Source organism: Homo sapiens, chromosome 9 (genome assembly GCF_000001405.40).
Source record: "Homo sapiens chromosome 9, GRCh38.p14 Primary Assembly".
Lineage (NCBI taxonomy): Eukaryota > Metazoa > Chordata > Mammalia > Primates > Hominidae > Homo > Homo sapiens.
Window position 1 is genome coordinate 72114227 of NC_000009.12, and position 20796 is coordinate 72135022.

Here is a 20796-nt window from a genome sequence, read left to right on the forward strand (position 1 = left end):
CAGATACCCTTCTAAATATGTGAGCTACACAGTGAAAAAGGTAAGGTCTTGGCAGGGGGGCTTTTGTGTAAACAAATGTAGAATAAGGATTTATTGATATTCTAGTGCTGTGCTATAACTTAACAGGCAAATTTAAATTGTGTAATGTTTTTGTCACAAAATGCTCAAAAAGTCAGACCTGAGCTTACAGGGCTAAACTTCCCCTTCCTTTTTTTTTTTTTTTTTTTTTTTTTGAGACGGAGTCTCGCTCTGTCGCCCAGGCTGGAGTGCAGTGGCGCGATCTCGGCTGACTGCAAGCTCCGCCTCCCGGGTTCACGCCATTCTCCCGCCTCAGTCTGACTGCAAGCTCCGCCTCCCGGGTTCACGCCATTCTCCCGCCTCAGTCTCCTGAGTAGCCGGGACTACAGGCACCCGCTACAACGCCCGGCTAATTTTTTTTGTATTTCCCCTTCCTTCTTTGCTTTCAAAATCCAGGCTTAGGGGTACAAAAACCTATATTGTCTGAGACAGGAAGCACTCCGAAGTTTGAAGAAGAGGGCAGCAGCCCAACTCAGAAGAACTGGACTCCCCAGCACTATAAGGAGAGAGGGTGGTGGTTCCACCAGAGGTGAGGACTTGCTTTCTGCTCTCTACAGCACCCCAAAGAGGGATGCCTAGAGAATCCATACTGAGTACCACAGCCCTGTCCCAGGGGCTTAATGGGACAGAGAGAGAGTGTGTGCCTGGTACAGAGGTAAGTTTATTTTTGATGGACCTGGTATATCACAGGAACTGCCACTATGGCCTTAACCCACCCTGTGGATTGAGCAAGTAGGAGTTTGTGTATGATCTACCGGGAGGAGCAGGGGATAAAGGCCCAGAAAATTAAGTGGCATTTTATGACCTCCCAGTGCTGGTTGGGGCAGGCTGTGGAAAAAACAAGCCATAATTAATTTGATTTAGAAAAATTAAGAAGTTTGTTCTTGTGCACTCAAGGGTTATGGAACAGCTCAAGCCATTCTCAAAAAACCATTGTCCAGTGTTGCTTGACCCAGTTAAAATCACCAGGTGTGTCTAAAAGTTTCTGACTAGTTTCAATCCAATGATATACGGATTTCTTTTCTGTGGTGCACAGGTTACATTATGAACCTGGACTAAAAGGGAATGAGTTGACCCATTATAGAGTATTAACAGAATGTTAATTCTGTGGCACTTACTCAGACATCCTCCTGGAAGAAAAGAACTTTTTGAACGTAGACTTCTCAATCCACATGTCTTAAAAACTTGGGCTAGGTGTGAAGGAGATCAGCTATAATTAAGAAAAAATCTGAATTGTATTGTGATGTACAAGATAGAATATTTGTTATTTAAAATTTGCATCAAAGAAACATAATTCATTTGGTCTAAAGTATTTCCAAGTCAAGATTCATCTAAGTCTGCTTTATTTGTAGAAACTACGCCTTATTGGTTAAGATCCCTAACTTATACTTAAAAAGTAATACCACAAAAACGTAAAATACAGACAATTATCCTAAGTAAATTGATCCTAAGTAAACTGCTGATCTTGAATATTAATTTAACAAAATGAGAAACTTGTACAAATGTAAATCATAACTCAACAAGGTTGAGCTGCTGAAAAAGGGGGAGATGCAAATGAGCAGATCTTCCACAGATGAGAGCAATAGTTACTATTTTCATATGCCAAGGTTTTACCTACAACATAATAGTAAGAGACAATAACTATTGGGCTGGGTGTGGTGGCTCACGCCTGTAATCCCAGCACTTTGGGAGGCCGAGGTGAGCTGATCACCTGAGGTTGGGAGTTCGAGACCAGCCTGACCAACATGGAGAAACCCGTCTCTACTAAAAGTACAAAAAATTAGCTGGCTGTGATGGTGCATGCCTGTAATCCCAGCTACTCGGGAGGCTGAGGCAGGAGAATCACTTGAACCTGGGAGGGGGAGGTTGCGGTGAGCCGAGATCATGCCATTGCACTCCAGCCTGGGCAACAAGAATGAAACTGTCTCAAAAAAAAAAAATTTATGAAATATGTTCCTTATTTTGTTCTGTGTTTCCTATATAAGCATCAAGTCAAAGTAGATTACAAAGCACCTTACAATGCCTACTGACCACATGCCACATGGCTAAATGACTCTACACCTCTATGAAGTTTCCCCAGCCTTTTTTTTTTTTTTTTGAGATGGAGTCTTGCTCTGTTACCCACTGGAGTGCAGTGGCACAATCTCGGCTCACTGCAACCTCCGCCTCCTGGGTTCAAGCAATTCTCCTGCCTCAGCCTTCCGAGTAGGTAGGACTACAGGTGTGCGCCACCATGCCCAGCTAATTTTTGTATTTTTAGTAGAGACGGAGTTTCACTACGTTGGTTGGCCAGGATGGTCTCCATCTCTTGACCTCGTGATCCACCTGCCTCGGCCTCCCAAAGTGCTGGGATTACAGGCGTGAGCCACCGCGCCCGGCCTCCCCAGGTTTTCTATCCTCAATGATCTCTGATTTTTCAGAACCCTTATCTTATATAGAACTAAAAATATATTCATATCGTTATTTATTTATTTATTTATTTTTATTATACTTTAAGTTCTAGGGTACATGTGCACAACGTGCAGGTTTGTTACATATGTATACATGTGCCATGTTGGTGTGCTGCACCCATTAACTCATCATTTACATTAGGTATATCTCCTAATGCTATCCCTCCCCCCTCCCACCACCCCACGACAGGCCCCAGTGTGTGATGTTCCCCATCCTGTGTCCAAGTGTTCTCATTGTTCAATTTCCCACCTATGAGTGAGAACATGCAGTGTTTGGTTTTCTGTCCTTGAGATAGTTTGCTCAGAATGATGGTTTCCAGCTTCATCCTTGTCCCTACAAAGGACATGAACTCATCATTTTTATGGCTGCATAGTATTCCATTGTGTATATGTGCCACATTTTCTTAATCTAGTCTATCATTCACATCATTATTTGTTTTATGAGTATATGACTTGTTTAATTAAATGGACTCTGGACTCTATCCAGAGTCTGTAGGAATTTTTCACTTCACAAAGAAATAAAGAAAATAAGACAGAATATTAAGGTTTTAAAAAAGGTTTAATTAATTCAACCTTTGATTTTTTTCCTGAGTGTATGTCTTTTTTTAATGTTAAAATGACCTTTATAAAATGATAATTTGAGAAATACAGAACAATCTCTCTCTTTCTCCCCATCTCCCAATGAAGAGACTGAATTCAGAGAGGTGAAGTAATGTTGCCAAGGGTAAGCTCAAACTCAAGTGCATCAGTCAGCCATATGCAATAGGGTGGCTTTGATTTCAAGGTGGTAGTCATGGTTCTAGATATCACAAGGAGACATGCCAGTGTTTAACAACATAAGAAGAGATGCTCTCTTTCTGTGTTCACCTTTTGTAAAAGTGAGGAAATCTTTCCCAGAGGACATCCAGTGGACTTCTCCCTCATCTCACTGGTTAAAATGTGTCACATGTTGAGAACCAGCCCAATCACTGTGGCAAAATGAATGGGGCATCCACCTCCCAATTGGCGAGGAGGTACCACTGAGTTGGGTGATAGTTACTTTCTTTGAGGGATAGCTAATGGAACAAAAGTGGGTTCTGCAAGCACAAAAGAATGGAGGATTTGGTTGTCAATAAACAGTCACTGAGGTCAGCTACTCCGGGATAATTCTAGGGGTCTTTGTACTGGACAAAATATTGGTTGAATGAATAAATAGAAGTATATATGTAGGCGAAAGATATTAAGAATATAAATTCAGGCCAGGCGCGGTGGCTCACGCCTGTAATCCCAGCACTTTGGGAGGCTGAGGCGGGCGGATCATGAGGTCAGGAGATCAAGACCATCCTGGCTAACATGGTGAAACCCCGTCTCCACTAAAAATACAAAAAATTAGGCGGGCATGGTGGCAGGCGCCTGTAGTCCCAGCTACTCGGGAGGCTGAGGCAGGAGAATGGCGTGAACCCGGGAGGCGGAGCTTGCAGTGAGCTGAGATCGCACCACTGCACTCCAGCCTGGGCGACAGAGCAAGAGACTCCACCTCAAAAAAAAAAAAAAAAAAAAAAAAGAATGTAAATTCAGGCATTCAAAGAAAGAAAATTAATTCCTTACGTCTTTCTTTAGAACCACTAAATACCTTGATAATTTATGGTAATGTCCACTCAAATGTACTGTATAAAAATTTCTTCCTCATTCATACTTACAGTGCTATAAAGGCAAGCGAACTCTAAAGTCACACTATAAATATGTTTTTATCACGATATTGATTATTTCAACTCTATCTCTAAAGAGTTGTGGAAATTTAATAGAAAAGAAAAATAAAGCTCTAGGAGATGCATAGAAAAGCCAAACAATTGCACAGATTTTTAACCAGCATTTTTCCCCAAAATATGTGAGAGCAGTATAAATACATGAAAAAAATGTTCAGTTTCATCAGTAATCACAGAAATGCAAATTACCCTGAGAAACATTTTCATCCATCAAACTGGCAATTTTTTTTCTTATGTTTAGTATTAAAGTTGATGAGCATGTAAAGAAATAGGCACGCTCATATACTGATGGTGAGAATGCACTTCCTGTGGTCTTTCTGGTTTTCATTTTAACATTGCATGACAAAGGATTGCTTACTTTCTGTCTGCTTTCCTACGCCTCAGGATCATTTAGTACAGGGACTGTATTTGTCCCACTTGAGTATTCCTAGTGCCAAGACCACTGATAATTCAATAAATGTATAATTAAGTTTTACATATTTATTGAATGGTCACTAAATATTAATGAAATTGATAAGCAAATGATTAAAAAAGAAAACATAGTCTTTAACCCAGCATTAAGGTTTCTAGGAATATAAATAAAAAATATGAGTTATATGCCAAAAATTATCTATAAAGATGTTATCCTATGGTAAGTTGTAATATCAACTAGGAAAAAAAATGTCAGTGGAGGAAATAATGTTTAGGAATAAAGGATTAGCTTTCTAAATGTTAGCATATTTGGGCCAGGCGCAGCGGCTCACACCTGCAATCCCAGCACTTCAGGAGGCCGAGGGGGGCAGATTCCATGAGCTCAGGAGTTTGAGACCAGCCTGGCCAACATGGCAAAACCACATCTCTACTAAAAATACAAAAATTAGCTGGATGTGGTGGCTCACGCCTGTAGTCCTAGCTAGTCAGGAGTCTGAGTGGGAGGATCACTTAGGGAGGTCGAGGCTACAGTGAGCTGTGATCGGGCCACTGCTCTTAAGCCTGGATGACAGAGTGAGACCCTGTCTCAAAAAAAATTTCAAAATTATCCCTTTTGCTAAATACATGGATATGTGTAAATGTTTGGAAAAAATGCTGAAAGAATATATAACAAAATATGAACAATCATTATTTCACTATAATGAGAAGGTAGCTGATTTTTAAGATGTTTTTCTATTCTTAACGTGTTGTTTTGGGGATAAGAAAGAGAATAAATTTTCTTTTAAGTGAGTGATTTGGAAAAAAATTCTTTTCATTTGATTACTCCTAATCAAATGTCATTATTTATTTTGGTAAATAATGATGGCTTGAGCAAGATATACACTTTATCAAACAAAGTAAGCACAGAGAACCAATTAGTCATATTTTTTATGAGAGACCATGGGATGTTTTTCCTCTGTGACTTCTGCAGAAAAGATATACGTTTTGAAATAATATTTTAAAGATTATTAAAAAGAGTCACATTTCTGTGTAAATTGTGGAACCACATCTCTTAGAGCTGACCTTCAAAATATAATCTATTGTATCTAAAGTTAATCTTTAACCTTGTATAGCCCATAAGCAAGAAGAGGAACTTAATGTGTTTCAAAGCTGCTTGCCTGCTTCTCTCTCCTTGCCAGTGCTATTTAAAGATCAGTGTAAGTGCACTTATCAATAGGATTTATGAGTCATATCAATAATTACAAACTACAGCAATAATTTTCCCAAAGAGATGCAGCATTCTTTTTTTTTTTTTTGAGATAGAGTCTCCCTCTGTCACCTAGGCTAGAGTGTGGTGGCACGATCTCGGCTCACTGCAACCTCTGCCTCCTGGGTTCAAGCGATTCTCCTGCCTTGGCCTCCCCAAGTAGCTGGGACTACAGGCTTGCACTACCACGCCCAGCTAATTTTTAAAAAATATTTTTAGCAGAGACAAGCTTTCACCATGTTGGCCAGGCTGTTCTCAAACTCTTGACCTCAGTTGATCCGCCCGCCTCAGCCTCCCAAAGTGCTGGGATTACAGGCATGAGCCACTGCACCTGTCCACAGCATTCTTTTAAAACTCTAAGAAAAATGGCATTTGTCATGTGACAATGAAATCAGGAGTCGTTTAGAAGCAGTGGGGTCTTTTCTTGTTTTCTTTGGTCAATCCATATCACTGCAGGTAAGAAATAAATCAAGTGATTTAGTAAGCATAAAATGTGACATTGTTAACATGCTTACTATGTTAACATTTGATGCACATGATCCAACTTCTCTAACATGTTTTATAAGGCCATGTGCTCTCCGTGGTAGATATTTAAATTTTTCTACTCATATCAAGCCTATGCTTCCACCACCTACCCTTTAACACATGACTTCAACACTTCAGCATCATTCGGGAAACAGAAGGCAGCAGGCAGAAAATGACTCTACTTTGCACCACCGACCCTGCAAACTTACCAACCTCAGCACTCACCAATCCACTCTTCTTTCTAGGGTTAATTTCTCTACTTGTGCTCTGGATCTCATCTTCCCCTGCCTTCTTGGGGACTTTACTCCATTAATGAGTCCCCTCTCCTTTATCTTCAGGTTCTTACTTCAACCACAGGCGTTTCAATACCCTCTCGAGAAGCATATAAATAGCATTAATAAAATGGCAACTCCCATTCACTAAGCATTTAGTTCGTACCAAACATGGTAGGTACTGAAGCCTCTTAAATATATTATTTTTCTCAACCTCTTTTTACGGTTGATGTTGTTTTCTACATTATGCACATGAGGGAAATGAAACTCCAAAAGGATAAGCACCAACCAAGATTATGCAACATGCGTGTGGCAAAGCAGGGATTCAAACCAAACTCTGTCTGAGCATAAGATTCTATCTTGGCTGGGCGCAGTGGCTCACACCTGTAGTCCCAGCACTTTGGGAAGCCAAAGCGGGTGGATCACCTGAGGTCAGGAGTTCAAGACCAGCCTGGCCAACATGGTGAATCCCGTCTCTACTAAAAATACAAAAATTAGCTGGGCGTGGTGGCAGGCGCCTGTAATCCCAGCTACTCGGGAGGCTGAGGCAGGAGAATCACTTGAACCCAGGAGGCGGAGGTTGCAGTGAGCTGAGATCGCGCCATTGCACTCCAGCCTGGGTGACAAGAGCGAAAGTCAGCCTCAAAACAAGAAAAAAAGATTCTGTCTTAATCATTGTGTTATTCTGCCCTTGTTTGTCTCCAAAAAGCTCCCTCTTTAACCCAATCATTATCTCTCTGCCTCATCATAGACAAACTTCCTGAAAGACTTGTATACACTTGCTATCTCCACTGTACTTTGCACATCTCAACGCATGGAAGCTTGGCATACACCCAGTGACATCACTGAAACTGCTCTTGGCAACATCACCAATTACCTTCTTGTTTCTAACGTCAAAGAATCTGAGTCCCTTTAATAACTTGACTTAGAGCAGCCACTGACTCTGTTGACAGCCCTCTCCTTGAAACATTGACTTCCATGGACTTTCATGAAATACCACTTTGCTAGTTTTTCTCCTATTTTATAAATCTCTGGGGTTGAAGTTTGCTTCTTTTTCACTGTCTACCCCTTATGTGTTGAGATAGATCAGACCTGCCTTAGATCTCCTCTTCTGATTACAAGTACTGTCCTGGGATTTCATCCACTCATACAACTTTACTTCCATTTGCTGATCAAGCCCACAATTCTACCTGGAGCCCAGGTCTCTATCCTGACTTTCAGACATGAGAATCTTCTGCCTAATTGACATCTGATTTTACGTTTCTCACAGGCATGGGGGCAGAGCAGTGAAATGTTGAGAGCATCTTATTTAGACTCAGATTGCTGGGCTCAATTCTTGGCATGAGCAGCTAGAACTATGCATCTCTGGGCTCTGGGCATTCATCTCTTTGAACCTTCCTTTCCTCAACTGTAAGATGGGGAAAATAATCATTATTATTTGATAGGGGCATTCTAAGCATTAAATGAAAGAATACTTGGAAAGTACTTGGCAGAATGTCTTGCACATAGAAAGTTCTCTGTTAAATGCAGCCTATTATTAATATTGTAACTCTGCAACTTTATGGAACGGAGAGTTAACGTATGTAATGGAACACACTATGTACACAAGATTACTCTTTGTCTTCCTCTTGCACTTCTTTATCTCTTATTTTCATTGCTTTTGGAAAAAATGTATACATTTACACACACACACACACACACACACACACACAGACACCTGAGAGAAACAAAAGAGTTTATAATGGGATCAAGAGTAATCCTTTCCATCCAACTTTACAGTCTTTCTTTTTCACTGATGACAATGGAATCAGGTGCCTCCCCCATGTCTTCAAGATTATCCAGCCTTTCTATCATTTCCCTTTTTTGTAGTGGCCACCTTCCAGAACCTTTACTGTCCTGCTCCAAGGATAAGCTCTGCCCAGCAGGTGGGAGTGGGGAGAAGAATCCACTTTGACATTTTGGGAGATGTCCATGACCTTTCAGAACTCTTCTTGAAAAGCTTTTAAATTCTAGAATTTATGTTTTCTAATCATTATTTTCTTTGACTGTGTATTCATATTTTAAGAAGGCACCTTCTCGATCTCACCAAAGCAGTATTTATAAATTTTTTAGAAGTTCTCTTTTGTTCCCTAATTACTTATCTTTCTTCAAGGCAGTTATTCTTCTTGCTTATCTCCCCATGATCGAGAATACTTCCCACTCTCAGAGCTGTTTGTTTTCTTTTTTCTTCCCTTTTTTTTTTTTTTTTGAGACCGAGTCTTGCTCTGTTGCCCAGGCTGGAGTGCAGTGGCGCGATCTCGGCTCACTGCAAGCTCCGCCTCCCAGGTTCACGCCATTCTCCTGCCTCAGCCTCCCAAATAGCTGGGACTACAGGCACCCGCCACCACACCTGGCTAATTTTTTGTATTTTTAGTAGAGACATGGTTTCACCGTGTTAGCCAGGAGGGTCTTGATCTCCTGACCTTGTGATCCGCCTGCCTTGGCCTCTCAAAGTGCTGGGATGACAGGCGTAAGCCACCATGCCCGGCCTTTTTTTTTTTTTTTTTTTTTTGAGACAGAATTTCGCTCTTGTTGCCCAGGCTGGAGTGCAATGGCGTGATCTCAGCTCACTGCAGCCTCCATCTCCCGGGTTCAAGCGATTCTCCTGCCTCAGCCTCCCGAGTAGTTGGGAATACAGGCATGCACCACCACGCCCAGCTAATTTTGTATTTTTAGTAGAGACAGGATTTCTCCATGTTGGTCAGGCTGGTCTCGAACTCTCGACCTCAAGTGATCCACCTGCCTTGGCTTTCCAAAGTGCTGGGATTATAGGTGTGAGCCACTGCACCCAACCCAGAGCTGTTTTACTTGCTTTTCCCTGTGCTGTTGTGAAATAGAACTTGTGCAGTTTCTAAATAAATATAATGAAACAAAGAATTCATTTAATTAAATTTAATTTAGTTAAAATTGCATCAAGCAATTGTTTTGCGTGAAAAACTCTGATTAAGTAGAAGAGGTCCAAAGACAGTGAGAAGCCAGTGAGGATACATTTAAAAATTGAAGGCTGTGCTGCCATTAGGTGAGTGGAACACTTGAGAGTATTGTACCATAGTTTTGCAGAGAGGAAAACAAGGACCAAGATCTACTAGGACATACCAAAAAGGCCAACCTCTAGCAACAGGAAAAAAGAAGAGAAAACATGGAAAAGAAAAGAACTTTTCCAGGCTATATAGTGGAAACCACCTATGCCCTTTACCTCTTTATTTGTATCAGCCATGGCACCTTCCTTGTAGCTACAAGAGCTATTAACAGCAGTATCAAAGAAAGCAAAGTGTTAAATATCAGAGAAGTTTCTGTTGCACCACATTTTATAACATAGAAGACACTTTATAAATTGCAAACGCCTCAGTATTTTATGTGTCACCAAGAAAGCAAAAAATGCTGCTACTCAAACTATAATATGCCATTGATCATAATTTACACTCAGATTTCAGTGATGTTAAAATGTGAGACATATGTCTTTAGAACCAATGAGAACCAGTGGAATTTAGTATCTGCTCTGTTTGTCTTGATTGTGGAGAAATCACCAATAATATGTAGAAAAAAGGGCTTTAATTTTTAAAAGAGTGTTGAGAAGTCTTGGTGGAAAGCACCTAGATGTTGGCACCTGTCAAACAGGCTGCCTTCCTAGTTACATTAGTTACAAGGTGTATGACATCCACTAAATAAGCTCCTTGAAGGAGTTTTCTTTTTTTTTAATTTCTAAAATGAAGACAGTGTTGCTTAGTATGTTGTTATATGATGGAGGTGGCTAATGGGTTATGGGAATAATCAGCCTGGCTAATTTTTGTATTTTTAGTAGAGATGGGGTTTCACCATGGTGGTCAGGCTGGTCTCGAACTCCTGACCTTGTGATCCACCCGCCTCGGCCTCCCAAAGTGCTGAGATTACAGGCTTGAGCCATCGCGCCTGGCCCTGGTGATCAGTCTTATTTGGAAACCACTGGTGAGCAGGGTTTTAACCTCCAAAATCATAAAACAGTGATTACCTTCTTTAAAACAAATGAATACTATTTTTAGGGCTGCCGATATTTTATGTTTGAATCCTGGATGATTTGGGAGAGAGGACTCAAAGGATTCTTTATTAATGGCATTGATCTAGATAAAGACTACATTTACCAGTCTCCTTTGCAGTGAGGTGTGGCCATGTGCCTAAGTTCTGACCAAATGGATGAGAGTGGAAATGAAGTGTGCAAACTGCAGTCTTGCCTTTGAAGCACTGGTTTCTGGTGGCTTCTGTTCCGTGGGCTTCTTTGGCAGCCTGGAGAGGCCAGAGAAGGATCCTTCCTTCCTTCATTCCTTCCTTTCTTCCTTCCTTCCTTCCTTTACTCCCTCCCTCCCTCCCTCCCTTCCTTCCTCTCTCTCTCTCTCTTTCTTTTTCTTTGACAGGATCTCGCTCTGTCACTCAGGTTGGAGTGCAGTGGCACGATCACGACACACTGCAACCTTGACCTCCCCAGGCTCAAGTGATCCTCCCGCCTCAGACTCCCAAAGTGCTGGGATTACAGGCATGAGCCACTGTGCTTGGCTGATTCTTTCTTAAAAATAACATTTTATAGGCATAAAATAAAATCATGTACTTAGAATTAAAAATGACGCCAACTATATGATATATTGTTATCAAAATATTAAAACAATAAATTAATGATATAGTGGTATCAATATTTACCAGCCCATTCAACAACAAGATTTAGCAGCAGGTCAATGGCAGAATTGTGGGGCACTTTGGTTTCTCTAGCTTCTAAAATTGAATGAGTCTTTTCCCCATGTTTTCTAGACCCTGGAAAGTTCTAACTTTGTCCCCATCCACCCCAATGTCCTGATCCTCCCAGTTATTTATAAGGAAAATATATTATATAATATTACATAGTAGATATGGCTTTTCTATGATTTTGGAAGGTAAACGACAGGTTCAGGAAATTTGTTTGTTTGTTTGTTTGTTTGAGACAGAGTCTCGCTCTGTTGCCCAGGCTGGAGTGCAGTGCCATGATCTCGGCTCACTGCAACCTCTGCCTCCTGGGTTCAAGTGATTCTCCTGCCTCGGCCTCCTGAGTAGCTAGGACTAGAGGCATGTGCCACTACACCCGGCTAATTTTTTGTATTTTTAGTACAGACGGGGTTTCACCATGTTGGCCAGGCTGGTCTCGAACTCCTGACCTCAGGCAATCCAAAGTGATGGGATTACGGACGTGAGCCACTGCACCTGGCCAGGAATGTTTTTAAATAAAGGCAGACCCCTTGGAGTATTCTGATCTGGCTAAACACGATATTTTCTTTATTATAGTTCCAAGTACTTAGTTTGTTCGTTTATCTGTCCATGTATTCATCCACCCATCCAACAGACATTTTTTGAGCATCTGCTATACACCAGAGACTGTGCCGGTTTAGCTAATAAAGGTTAACAACTCACAGACTTGCCAGATGTTGAGTAGCAGCCATGAACTGTAGTGATAGACACGTGGCATCTCAGCTTTAAATCTGATTCACATGTGCTTGCCAACTGGAACAAGATAGGAATTATAGGAACTAGGATGACAACAAGAACTGTAAAGGGAGACTGAGAACCTGGTTAGTCTTTTTTTTTTTTTTTTTTGAGACAGGGTCTCATTCTGTCACCTAGGCTGGAGTGCAGCGGCGCGATCTCGGCTCACTGCAACCTCTGCCTCCCGGGGTCAAGTGATTCTCCTACCTCAGCCTCCCAAGTAGCTGGGACTACAGGCACCTGCCACCAGGCCCAGCTAATTTTTGTAATTTTAGTAGAGACGGGGTTTCATCATGTTGGCCAGGCTGGTCTTGAGCGCCTGACCTCAGGTGATCCACCTGACTCAGTCTCCGAAAGTGTTGGGATTACATGCGTGAGCCACCACACCCGGCAGAACCTGGTTAGTTTTTTCTCCCTATTCAGATTTGTCCTTTGACTGCCTGACCTTTTCTGAGAGTATCTGGTGCCATCCTTGAGCAAATTACTAGCCGCGATAGATCAGCTCAGAGAGAGAAGACACAGCCATTCCTAGGTTACTTCCCAGATTAAAATATTCTCCATGACCCTCTTGCTCCAAACTTACCATCTATCTGGCTCAAAATTATTGGGAAGCCTGTTGCATCCTAGATTTGTAATTACTTATGTCAGAGTTGGCATGATCTTGTTCACACAGCATGACACTTGCTATATGTAATGGACTACTAAACGGAGTAGAGTAGAAATTATATTCTGTTTTTAAAAATAAGTATTTGAACTAGGTTGAATCAAAACCAGTTTTAAAAAAATTAAATGGGTTGATGGGAAAATAGATCTCTTCTGACATGAAGAAACAAATAAACAAACCAAAACAGAACCAAAAGGATCTGAAAGAAAATCCTTCCTGGGCTGGGCGCGGTGGCTCACACCTGTAATCCCAGCACTTTGGAAGGCGGAGGTGGGCGGATCATGAGGTCAAGCGATTGAGACAATCCTGGCCAACATGGTGAAACCCTGTCTCTACTAAAAAGACAAAAATTAGTTAGGTGTGGTGGTGTGCGTCTGTAGTCCCAGCTACTCAGGAGGCTGAGGCAGGAGAATCGCTTGAACCCAGGAGGTGGAGGTTGCAGTGAGCCAAGATCACTCCACTGCACTCCAGCCTGGGCGACAGAGAGAGACTCTGTCTCAAAAAAAAAAAAAAAAGAAAGAAAATCAGAAAATCTTTTCTGGGAGAATCAACAGTATGTCTGTGGGTTTAGTTGGTCTTTCCTTTCAAGCTAGTTCTTGGATATTCTCTGATGTTATCTGTCTTGTCGTGAGGATCAAATGAAATAATGCATGAGACTGGGCACTGGCTCTACTCTTCTATGCAAAAATAAGGTGTTGTCACTATGAACTGATGACCTAGGAAGTTGTTTCCTCCAAAAGAGATTAGATTGTTTTCCACATTCAGTTTTTATGTATCTGTTTATCTTTTACTTTTGGCCAGTTTGTTCTTTTTCTTATCTGTTGGAGGCTGTAAACCATTTATTAGAGAGGACTTTGAAGTCTACCTTAATCACCTATTTTGCTTAGTGGTTTCATTTGAACCAGACTTCCAGGTTTTCCTGTTTACTGGATTTTGTTGTTAGTTATCCACGTCCTCACAGAGAAAGGGCTTATGATAAATGGCAAATTATTTCATATCAGGATGAGATTAATACAAGTGGCAAAAAAGTAAACATTAAATTAGGGTTGTGTTGCTGCTTCCAGACCTATTACTATCATATTTATAAAGCTACCTCCATATCTTAGTGAAAGTGGCAAGTGTGTTTATTCGTTATTCTGTGTTCTCTTCTATACTCACCTCATATTTCAAGTAAGTGATTCAAATAATGGAGTGATAGAGTGTGGTGGGGTGGGAGTGTGTTGGGCAGCTTTCTTATCATTCTTCTGAAAAATTTTCTTTACATTGGCAATATCTTTGCTAGTTATAATAGTAATAATGATAATGATTTTAAAATAACTACTATCATTTTTGAGCACTTGCCACATGCTAGGCATTTTATAGCCATTACCTTTGCAATAATAATGGAAGATAGATACTATTATTCACTTCCCAATGTTGATATATATATGTAACATATATATAATATCATGTAATAAACATATAATGTCTGTGTAACTAGAGTGAATTATTTGTATTAAGATTTTGACAGCTCCTTCAGGGAGTTCTTTGCCAGTCTTCAAGCCAGCACGAAACCATCACAGTAGTCCTGTGAGACAGGCTGGCAGCCAGCATCTTTATATAAGCAGGGCTTGAGCCTGATTCACTTTTCTGACTAGCACCTAGCTTATTTTTAGAATGCAATACGTGGTAATAAAAATAAAATAGTGAATAGCAATACAATCAAAAATATACAAATACACTTCTCAGATTGGGTGGAGTCTCACTGGAGTTTTTTTTTTAGGGTGTCTGAAGTTATGTCCTTGCCTGGCAATGAGAGATGGAATAAAATTACTCCAATTTTTTCTTTCTTTTCTTTTTTTTTTTGACAGAGTTTCGCTGTTTTGCCCAGGCTGAAGTGAAGTGGCCTGATCTGGGCTCACTGCAACCTCTGCCCCCTGGGTTCAAGTGATTCTCCTGCCTCAGCCTCCTGAATAGCTGAGATTACAGGCATGCGCCACCACATCCCGCTAATTTTTGTATTTTTAGTACAGATGGGGTTTTGCCATGTTGACTAGGCTGGTCTTGAAATCCTGACCTCAGGTTATCCACCTGCCTTGGCCTCCCAAAGTGCTAGGATTACAGGCGTGAGCCACTGTGCCCAGTCTCTTTCTTTTGATTAAAAAAAATATTCAAACTTTCAACAGAATAGACCAGCAGCCTCTCTCCATGAGTAAACCAGAGAATGAGCCAGGCACGGCTGCGTTCTCCACGGGCTGTGCTTCACTCCTCTTGGCATGTTGGCCATGGCATCCTGAGTTTGCTCGCCTCACTCCACCTCCAGACCCGTGGACATCCTCCAACTGTTTCTACAGTCCAAGTTAGGACTCAATGGGTGTTGAATCACACATAGGATAAGGCTGGGGAGTCATTCAAGAAAAATTACTTGTTGGGACCCACACAGGGTTCATAGTATCTATTGCAGAGTACTTTCACATCCCATATTCTGGCCTTCAATCTTATAGTTCCACAGATGCAGTATTGCCAGGGTCCCAGGATTTCCCAGGTAAAGGGAGACCGATGATGTTCACTTTGCTCACAACAGATTCCATGGAAAGCCCAAACTGCTAGGGTATTTAGCTGACCACGAGAAATGTAACTGCCCCAATGACTCTCTATTAGTGCCATCTATATGAGAAGCTAAACATTAACCAGAGGGTTGCTTGGTAAGCATGAAGGAAGGGCAGGGGAGTTAACAGAATGAGTTGTGTATTTAAAGTCCCAGGTTAGGTCAGACCCGGGCCAGGACACTCAATCTTGCCAACAAGATGAGATAAGACCAACCTTTGAGCCAGAGAATTTCATCCCCTGGAAGTTTCCCATCCTGGAGATGACTTGTGCTTGCCAGACGTTGTTGGATGGGCATTGGAAATATTTCCCCTGGCCTCTGTCACCTGCCCCCAGCACAATGCACTGAGCAGTCACTGAGAGAAAGTTAGACAATAAACACTCATAGCCTGGAGACACAGAATCCCTTATTCTAACCCTGCATTCACATTAGGAGGTCATCACCTTTCTGAAATAAGATGCCATGTGGTTTTCCTTTATTCATCATGAAGGAATACAGGTGAAAGTAAGCCAAAAATAAAAACTAAAAAGTGGGCCTCTGTTCCAAATATCTTTCAATATCATTTAGTGGCTTATTTATGTAGTTAAGAGCTGTTTTACAAAACAGATACTACCAGGAGGTGTAAGCCCACCTAATACTCATAACTTAGTGCATGTAAATGAAGAAGTTTTTGGTGAGATCTAATGCTTGGCTTACAAAAAAGTGACCATTAAGAACATTACATAAGAAGCAGCTGAGTCCTACTGAGTCTCAACATCTTGCTGAAGTCCACACCACTGGTTAGTGGAAGAGGCAAAGTCTATTCTTGTTCTCCTTAACACTTTTATAATGTATTAGTGGCCAAACTCCACTTCCACATGTATGTCTGAGGTTGAAAACCACTGGTGTATTGAAATAGACATATGTGAGCAGATGCTTAGTGTGTTGTTATATGATTGAGGTGGCTAAAGAGTTACAGGAATAACAAGGCAGGCAACCAATCCAGTCTAAGGCTTGGAAAGGGTCCATGAAGACTTTAGAGTGAAATTGATTCTTGTGTGAGCTGAGTTGTGAAGGGTAAGTTTAGAGTTTAATTAGGTAAAGGATATGGGGAAAATAATCCAGGCAGATAAGAGTCCCTGGACAAACACTCAGGGGTTTCCAATTTTTTCATCTGCTATCTTCACCTCCTATCCTTATTCACAATTTTGCCTTAACCCATAACCTCCTTCCATTGGATGTACACCCTGGGATGTATACCCATGGAAGAGGATGCACTAGCAGCTGCCATGTGTCAGGCATTTGAGAAATAAGGGAGCAATAGTCATCACAAGGACAGTGCAATTGGTTGGCTGTGGTTAAGTTCCACTGATGCCCTAGGAAAAGGTAGCAAAGAGCTGAGATTGATTAATCAGCCATTAAATAAATTCTAAGTGGGAAGGCCAGAGGGCCTCCCTGGAAACACACCAAGAGACTCTCATCTCTTAATTTGGAAGGGGAAAGGGGTTCAAATAGGAAGATCCAGGCCAGAATTTAATTGTAAGAGTAGCTGAAGTAGGTCTGCTATGCCAAAAGCATTGGGAAAAATGGGCACGGACACAGGGAAGGGCACATCTGTGTTGACGCCCCTCCCTGCCAAGAATCTTGAGTCTCCAGATTGCCCTTGCATTAGACCATTCTTTTGTAGCTATAGAGAAATACCAAAGGCAGCGAACTGAATGAGCAAGAACTTATCACCAAGGGAATGGTGCTGAGCCATTTATGAGCATCCACCCCCACGATCCAGTCACCTCCCACCAGGCCCCATCTCCAACACTGGGAATTACATTTCAACATGAGATTTGGAAGGGACAATTACCCAAATTATATCAGCCCTGAACCCTCTGAGCCTGCACAAATGGCCCACTTCTCTTTATGGAGGGCTAGAAACACACCACGTGCACAGACACACACACACACAAACACACACACATCAATTCCAAGGCCTCTCTACAAGACATCATGTACTCTCTTCAGGGTGTCACCCATCTTCCCTCCTCACTGCTAGGTCAATAACTAGGGTTAAGTCATAAAGTAACTGTGTCAAGAAAATGCTCGACTGCTATGGGAGGAAAAGAACTATACCCCTTTATATTAGTCTGTTTTCATGCTGCTGATAAAGACATACCCAAGCCTGGAAAGAAAAAGATGTTTAATGGAATTACGTTTCCACATGGCTGAGAAGGCTTCACAATCATGACGGAAGGCAAGAAGGAGCAAGTCATATCTTACATGGATGGTGGCAGGCAAAGAGACAGAGTTTCTGCACGGGAACTGCTCCTTTTAAAACCATCAGATCTTATGAGACTCATTCACTATCATGAGAACAGTGCAGGAAATACCTGCCCCTATAATTTAATCACCTCCCACTGGGTTCCTCCTGTGACACATGGGAATTGTGCAAGTTACAATTCAAAATGAGATTTGGGTGGGAACAAAGCCAAACCATGTCTCACCCTTCTAGGTCCAATTTCAGGATTAACTAACTGGGAGAATATGCCTGAGAGTGGATTCTGAGGGTGCCCAACCACGGTGGGGTGCCCAACCATGGTGAGTACAAGAAAGTTTGAATACAAAAGAATTTACCAATATGAGAACACTCTCCCATGTCACAGGATATAATAATACCCTGGCAGGGACCTGAGGGAGGGTGAGTGCACACTGTAGGATGGCTCCTAGGACCATGGAAAAAACAATGCCTCATACCAGTGACAAAATTGCTGTGACAGACAGTAGTACACAGTGAAGAGAGGGAAGACTTGTTTGGCATGTCTTCTGTCCTGCCCAATTTGATGGTAAATGACAAGTGCAGATATCTTAGCCTATTTTTTAAATCATGTCATCACTCTGAAGATTTCCAAATCAGTCAAGAGGATGCTGTTGGTGTCAAGACCTGTACCCCCAAAAATGCCCCATAAAGCACTGCTATGGTTGTCCAGAAACACTGAGAGACTCCCAGACTATTGAGGTTTTACTGGACCCTAAGTAGTTATAGTTTCTGGAGTTCCCTCACCTCCCACTACTCCAACACTAATCAGAACAATATCCCTGTACCCGACTAAGTTGTAAGATTTGTGACTCTGGCTTATGAGACCCCCTTATGCTGGGCAGTTTGGATATTTGCACTTGACTATGAGATGGGTTCCATTACCGCCAAGGACAAAGTGAAACCAGGGAAGAAAAAGAGGCAGTTGGGTATCCCCTGTGTAATAATCAATTTCAGGTGAACTATTATTCTTCTCTGGTAACAAGAAATAATTTTAGTTGGCCAGGTGCAGTGGCTCACACCTATAATTCCAGCACTTTGGGAGGCCGAGGTGGGTGGATCACGAGGTCAGGAGATCAAGACCATCCCGGCCAACATCGTGAAACTCTGTCTCTACTAAAATACAAAAAAATTAGCCAGCCATGGTAGTGCATGCCTGTAGTCCCAGCTACTTGGGAGGCTGAGGCAGGGGAATCGCTTGAATCCAGGAGGCGGAGGTTGTAGTGAACCGAGATAGCGCCACTGCACTCCAGCCAGGTGACAAAGCAAGACTCTGTCTAAAAAAAAAAAAAAAAAAAAAAATAATAATAATAATAATAATAATTTTAGCTTAGGAAGCAGTCTCTGAGCTTTATTTTTCAGTACTTAATCTATATTATCTATTGATTTGCAGGTTCTAGCAGGTCAGCTATTTTATTACATGAATTCTTTTCCATTTTAAAAATCAGCAATGTGAATGGTTTTGACACTACTTGGACTTCCTTGATCTATGTGAACTTTGTTCTTTGGGAATGTCGAGCTGGCAAGGCTCGATTTTAGATCAGCAGAGTGACCTTAGCCCACATAGCAATTATTCCCTGATCATTTGTTGCAAAATGCCACAGCCTTCCATCATTCTGATTTCTCCTGGGCAGAGTAGATGTTCACTCTGGTTACAATGTAAGGAGAATTGGGAAAGCCCTCTTATTTCTTCTCACATAAACTGGCTTCTTAGAAATATTCTCCCAAACAATGCTAGAAATTCCACTGTCATAGAATACTGCTGTGACCCTATGAATGGGGTCCTCTGTATGATGCAGTGCTGCTTTAGTGCAAGGTTCAAGATGTGAGCTGGGAGAACCCACTGTGCGGACTGAAACCTATCCCCAGTCCTATTATATTGGAATTTGAGCTATCACAGGAGTGTGCTATCATCAGGTTCCAAGGTTTAGCAATCTGATCATCTGGGTTACACATTGAACTCTCCCTGTGTTTCTCATGTAGTGTGTAAGAACCTATCAGATTCTCTACTTCTTGTGTAAAGAGTGAAAATCATTGGTGGGACAAACATCGGGAGGATCATGAATAAGTGAATTAGTGGAGGGAGTAGGGAAAGGGAAGGGGCTTGGCAAATAGGGATGAACGCCAGTTTTGGGCTGAAGTAGTTTCATCAAATAAAAGACCAAATAGTGCCATGAAATGGGCCTTGAACTACTTGTCAAAGGCCCAAGAACCTTAGAGAGCTAGTGTCATCTTAAACATGACATTTAATGTTTATCACAATTCCTTCATCTGTAAAATGCAAGGTACTATGCCTGCTCTAACTAGCTCCCTGACTGAGGGTGAAACCTAAATTTGTATTTCTGAAAACTCTCCATAAAACCTACTGTGCTCCAGGAAGGCCTCCCCCGCCAACTTTTTTTTTTTTTCTTAGACAGAGTTTTGCACTTGTCACCCAGGCTGGAGTGCAGTGGTGTGATCTCGGCTCACTGCAACCTCTGCCTCCTGGGTTCAAGAGATTCTCCTGCCCCAGCCACATGAGTAGCTGGGATTACAGGCGCCCACCACCATGCCCAGCTATTTTTTTTTATTTTTAGTAGAGATTGGGGTTTCACCATGTTGGTCAGGCTGGCCTGGAACTCCTGACCTCAGGTGATCCACCTGCCTCAGCCTCCCAAAGTGCTGGGATTACAGGCGTGAGCCACTGCACCTGGCCGGCACTTGTTTTTTATGGTGTTGTAAGCCTGCACAGATTCTGCCTCAAAATTTATTGGGAAAGAAGTTGGGTAAAAAAGAGTACATAGAATTGAATTAATACTTGTGAGCCATATGAAGAAGTAGAAGAGCTTCCACTTGACAATTTTGCCTGGTGGCAGTCCTGGAACTGTTAGTACAGAGCTGACTCCAGTCAACCAAGCTCCTTTGGGCAAATCATGGTACTGGGAAAAGAAGTGGTTGGACATATTGGTCAATGATATGCAATTAACTCTTCAGTTTCTTCTTGGTTACTTCCCTGTTGTGCAATATTCCTGTGG

The 20796-nt window shown here is 41.8% G+C and overlaps 1 protein-coding gene across 4 annotated transcripts in view, besides 1 other annotated feature; it reads left to right on the top strand.

Annotated features, from left to right (window-relative positions):
• Positions 382–20796, top strand: part of GDA (guanine deaminase) — a 145262-nt gene continuing 124847 nt past the window's right edge. For all 4 annotated transcript variants that reach the window (XM_017015338.2, NM_001242507.3, XM_047424104.1 and 1 more), the window contains exon 1: positions 382–607. The gene's annotated coding sequence lies outside the window, so the exon portion shown is untranslated. The remainder of the gene's footprint in view (positions 608–20796) is intronic.
• Positions 15527–15821: a silencer, noted in NCBI's record as "tiled region #10456; K562 Repressive non-DNase unmatched - State 15:Elon". NCBI's record gives its function as "represses a minimal TATA promoter and a strong SV40 promoter by Sharpr-MPRA in K562 cells {active_cell/tissue: K562}" and the evidence as "EXISTENCE:reporter gene assay evidence [ECO:0000049][PMID:27701403]".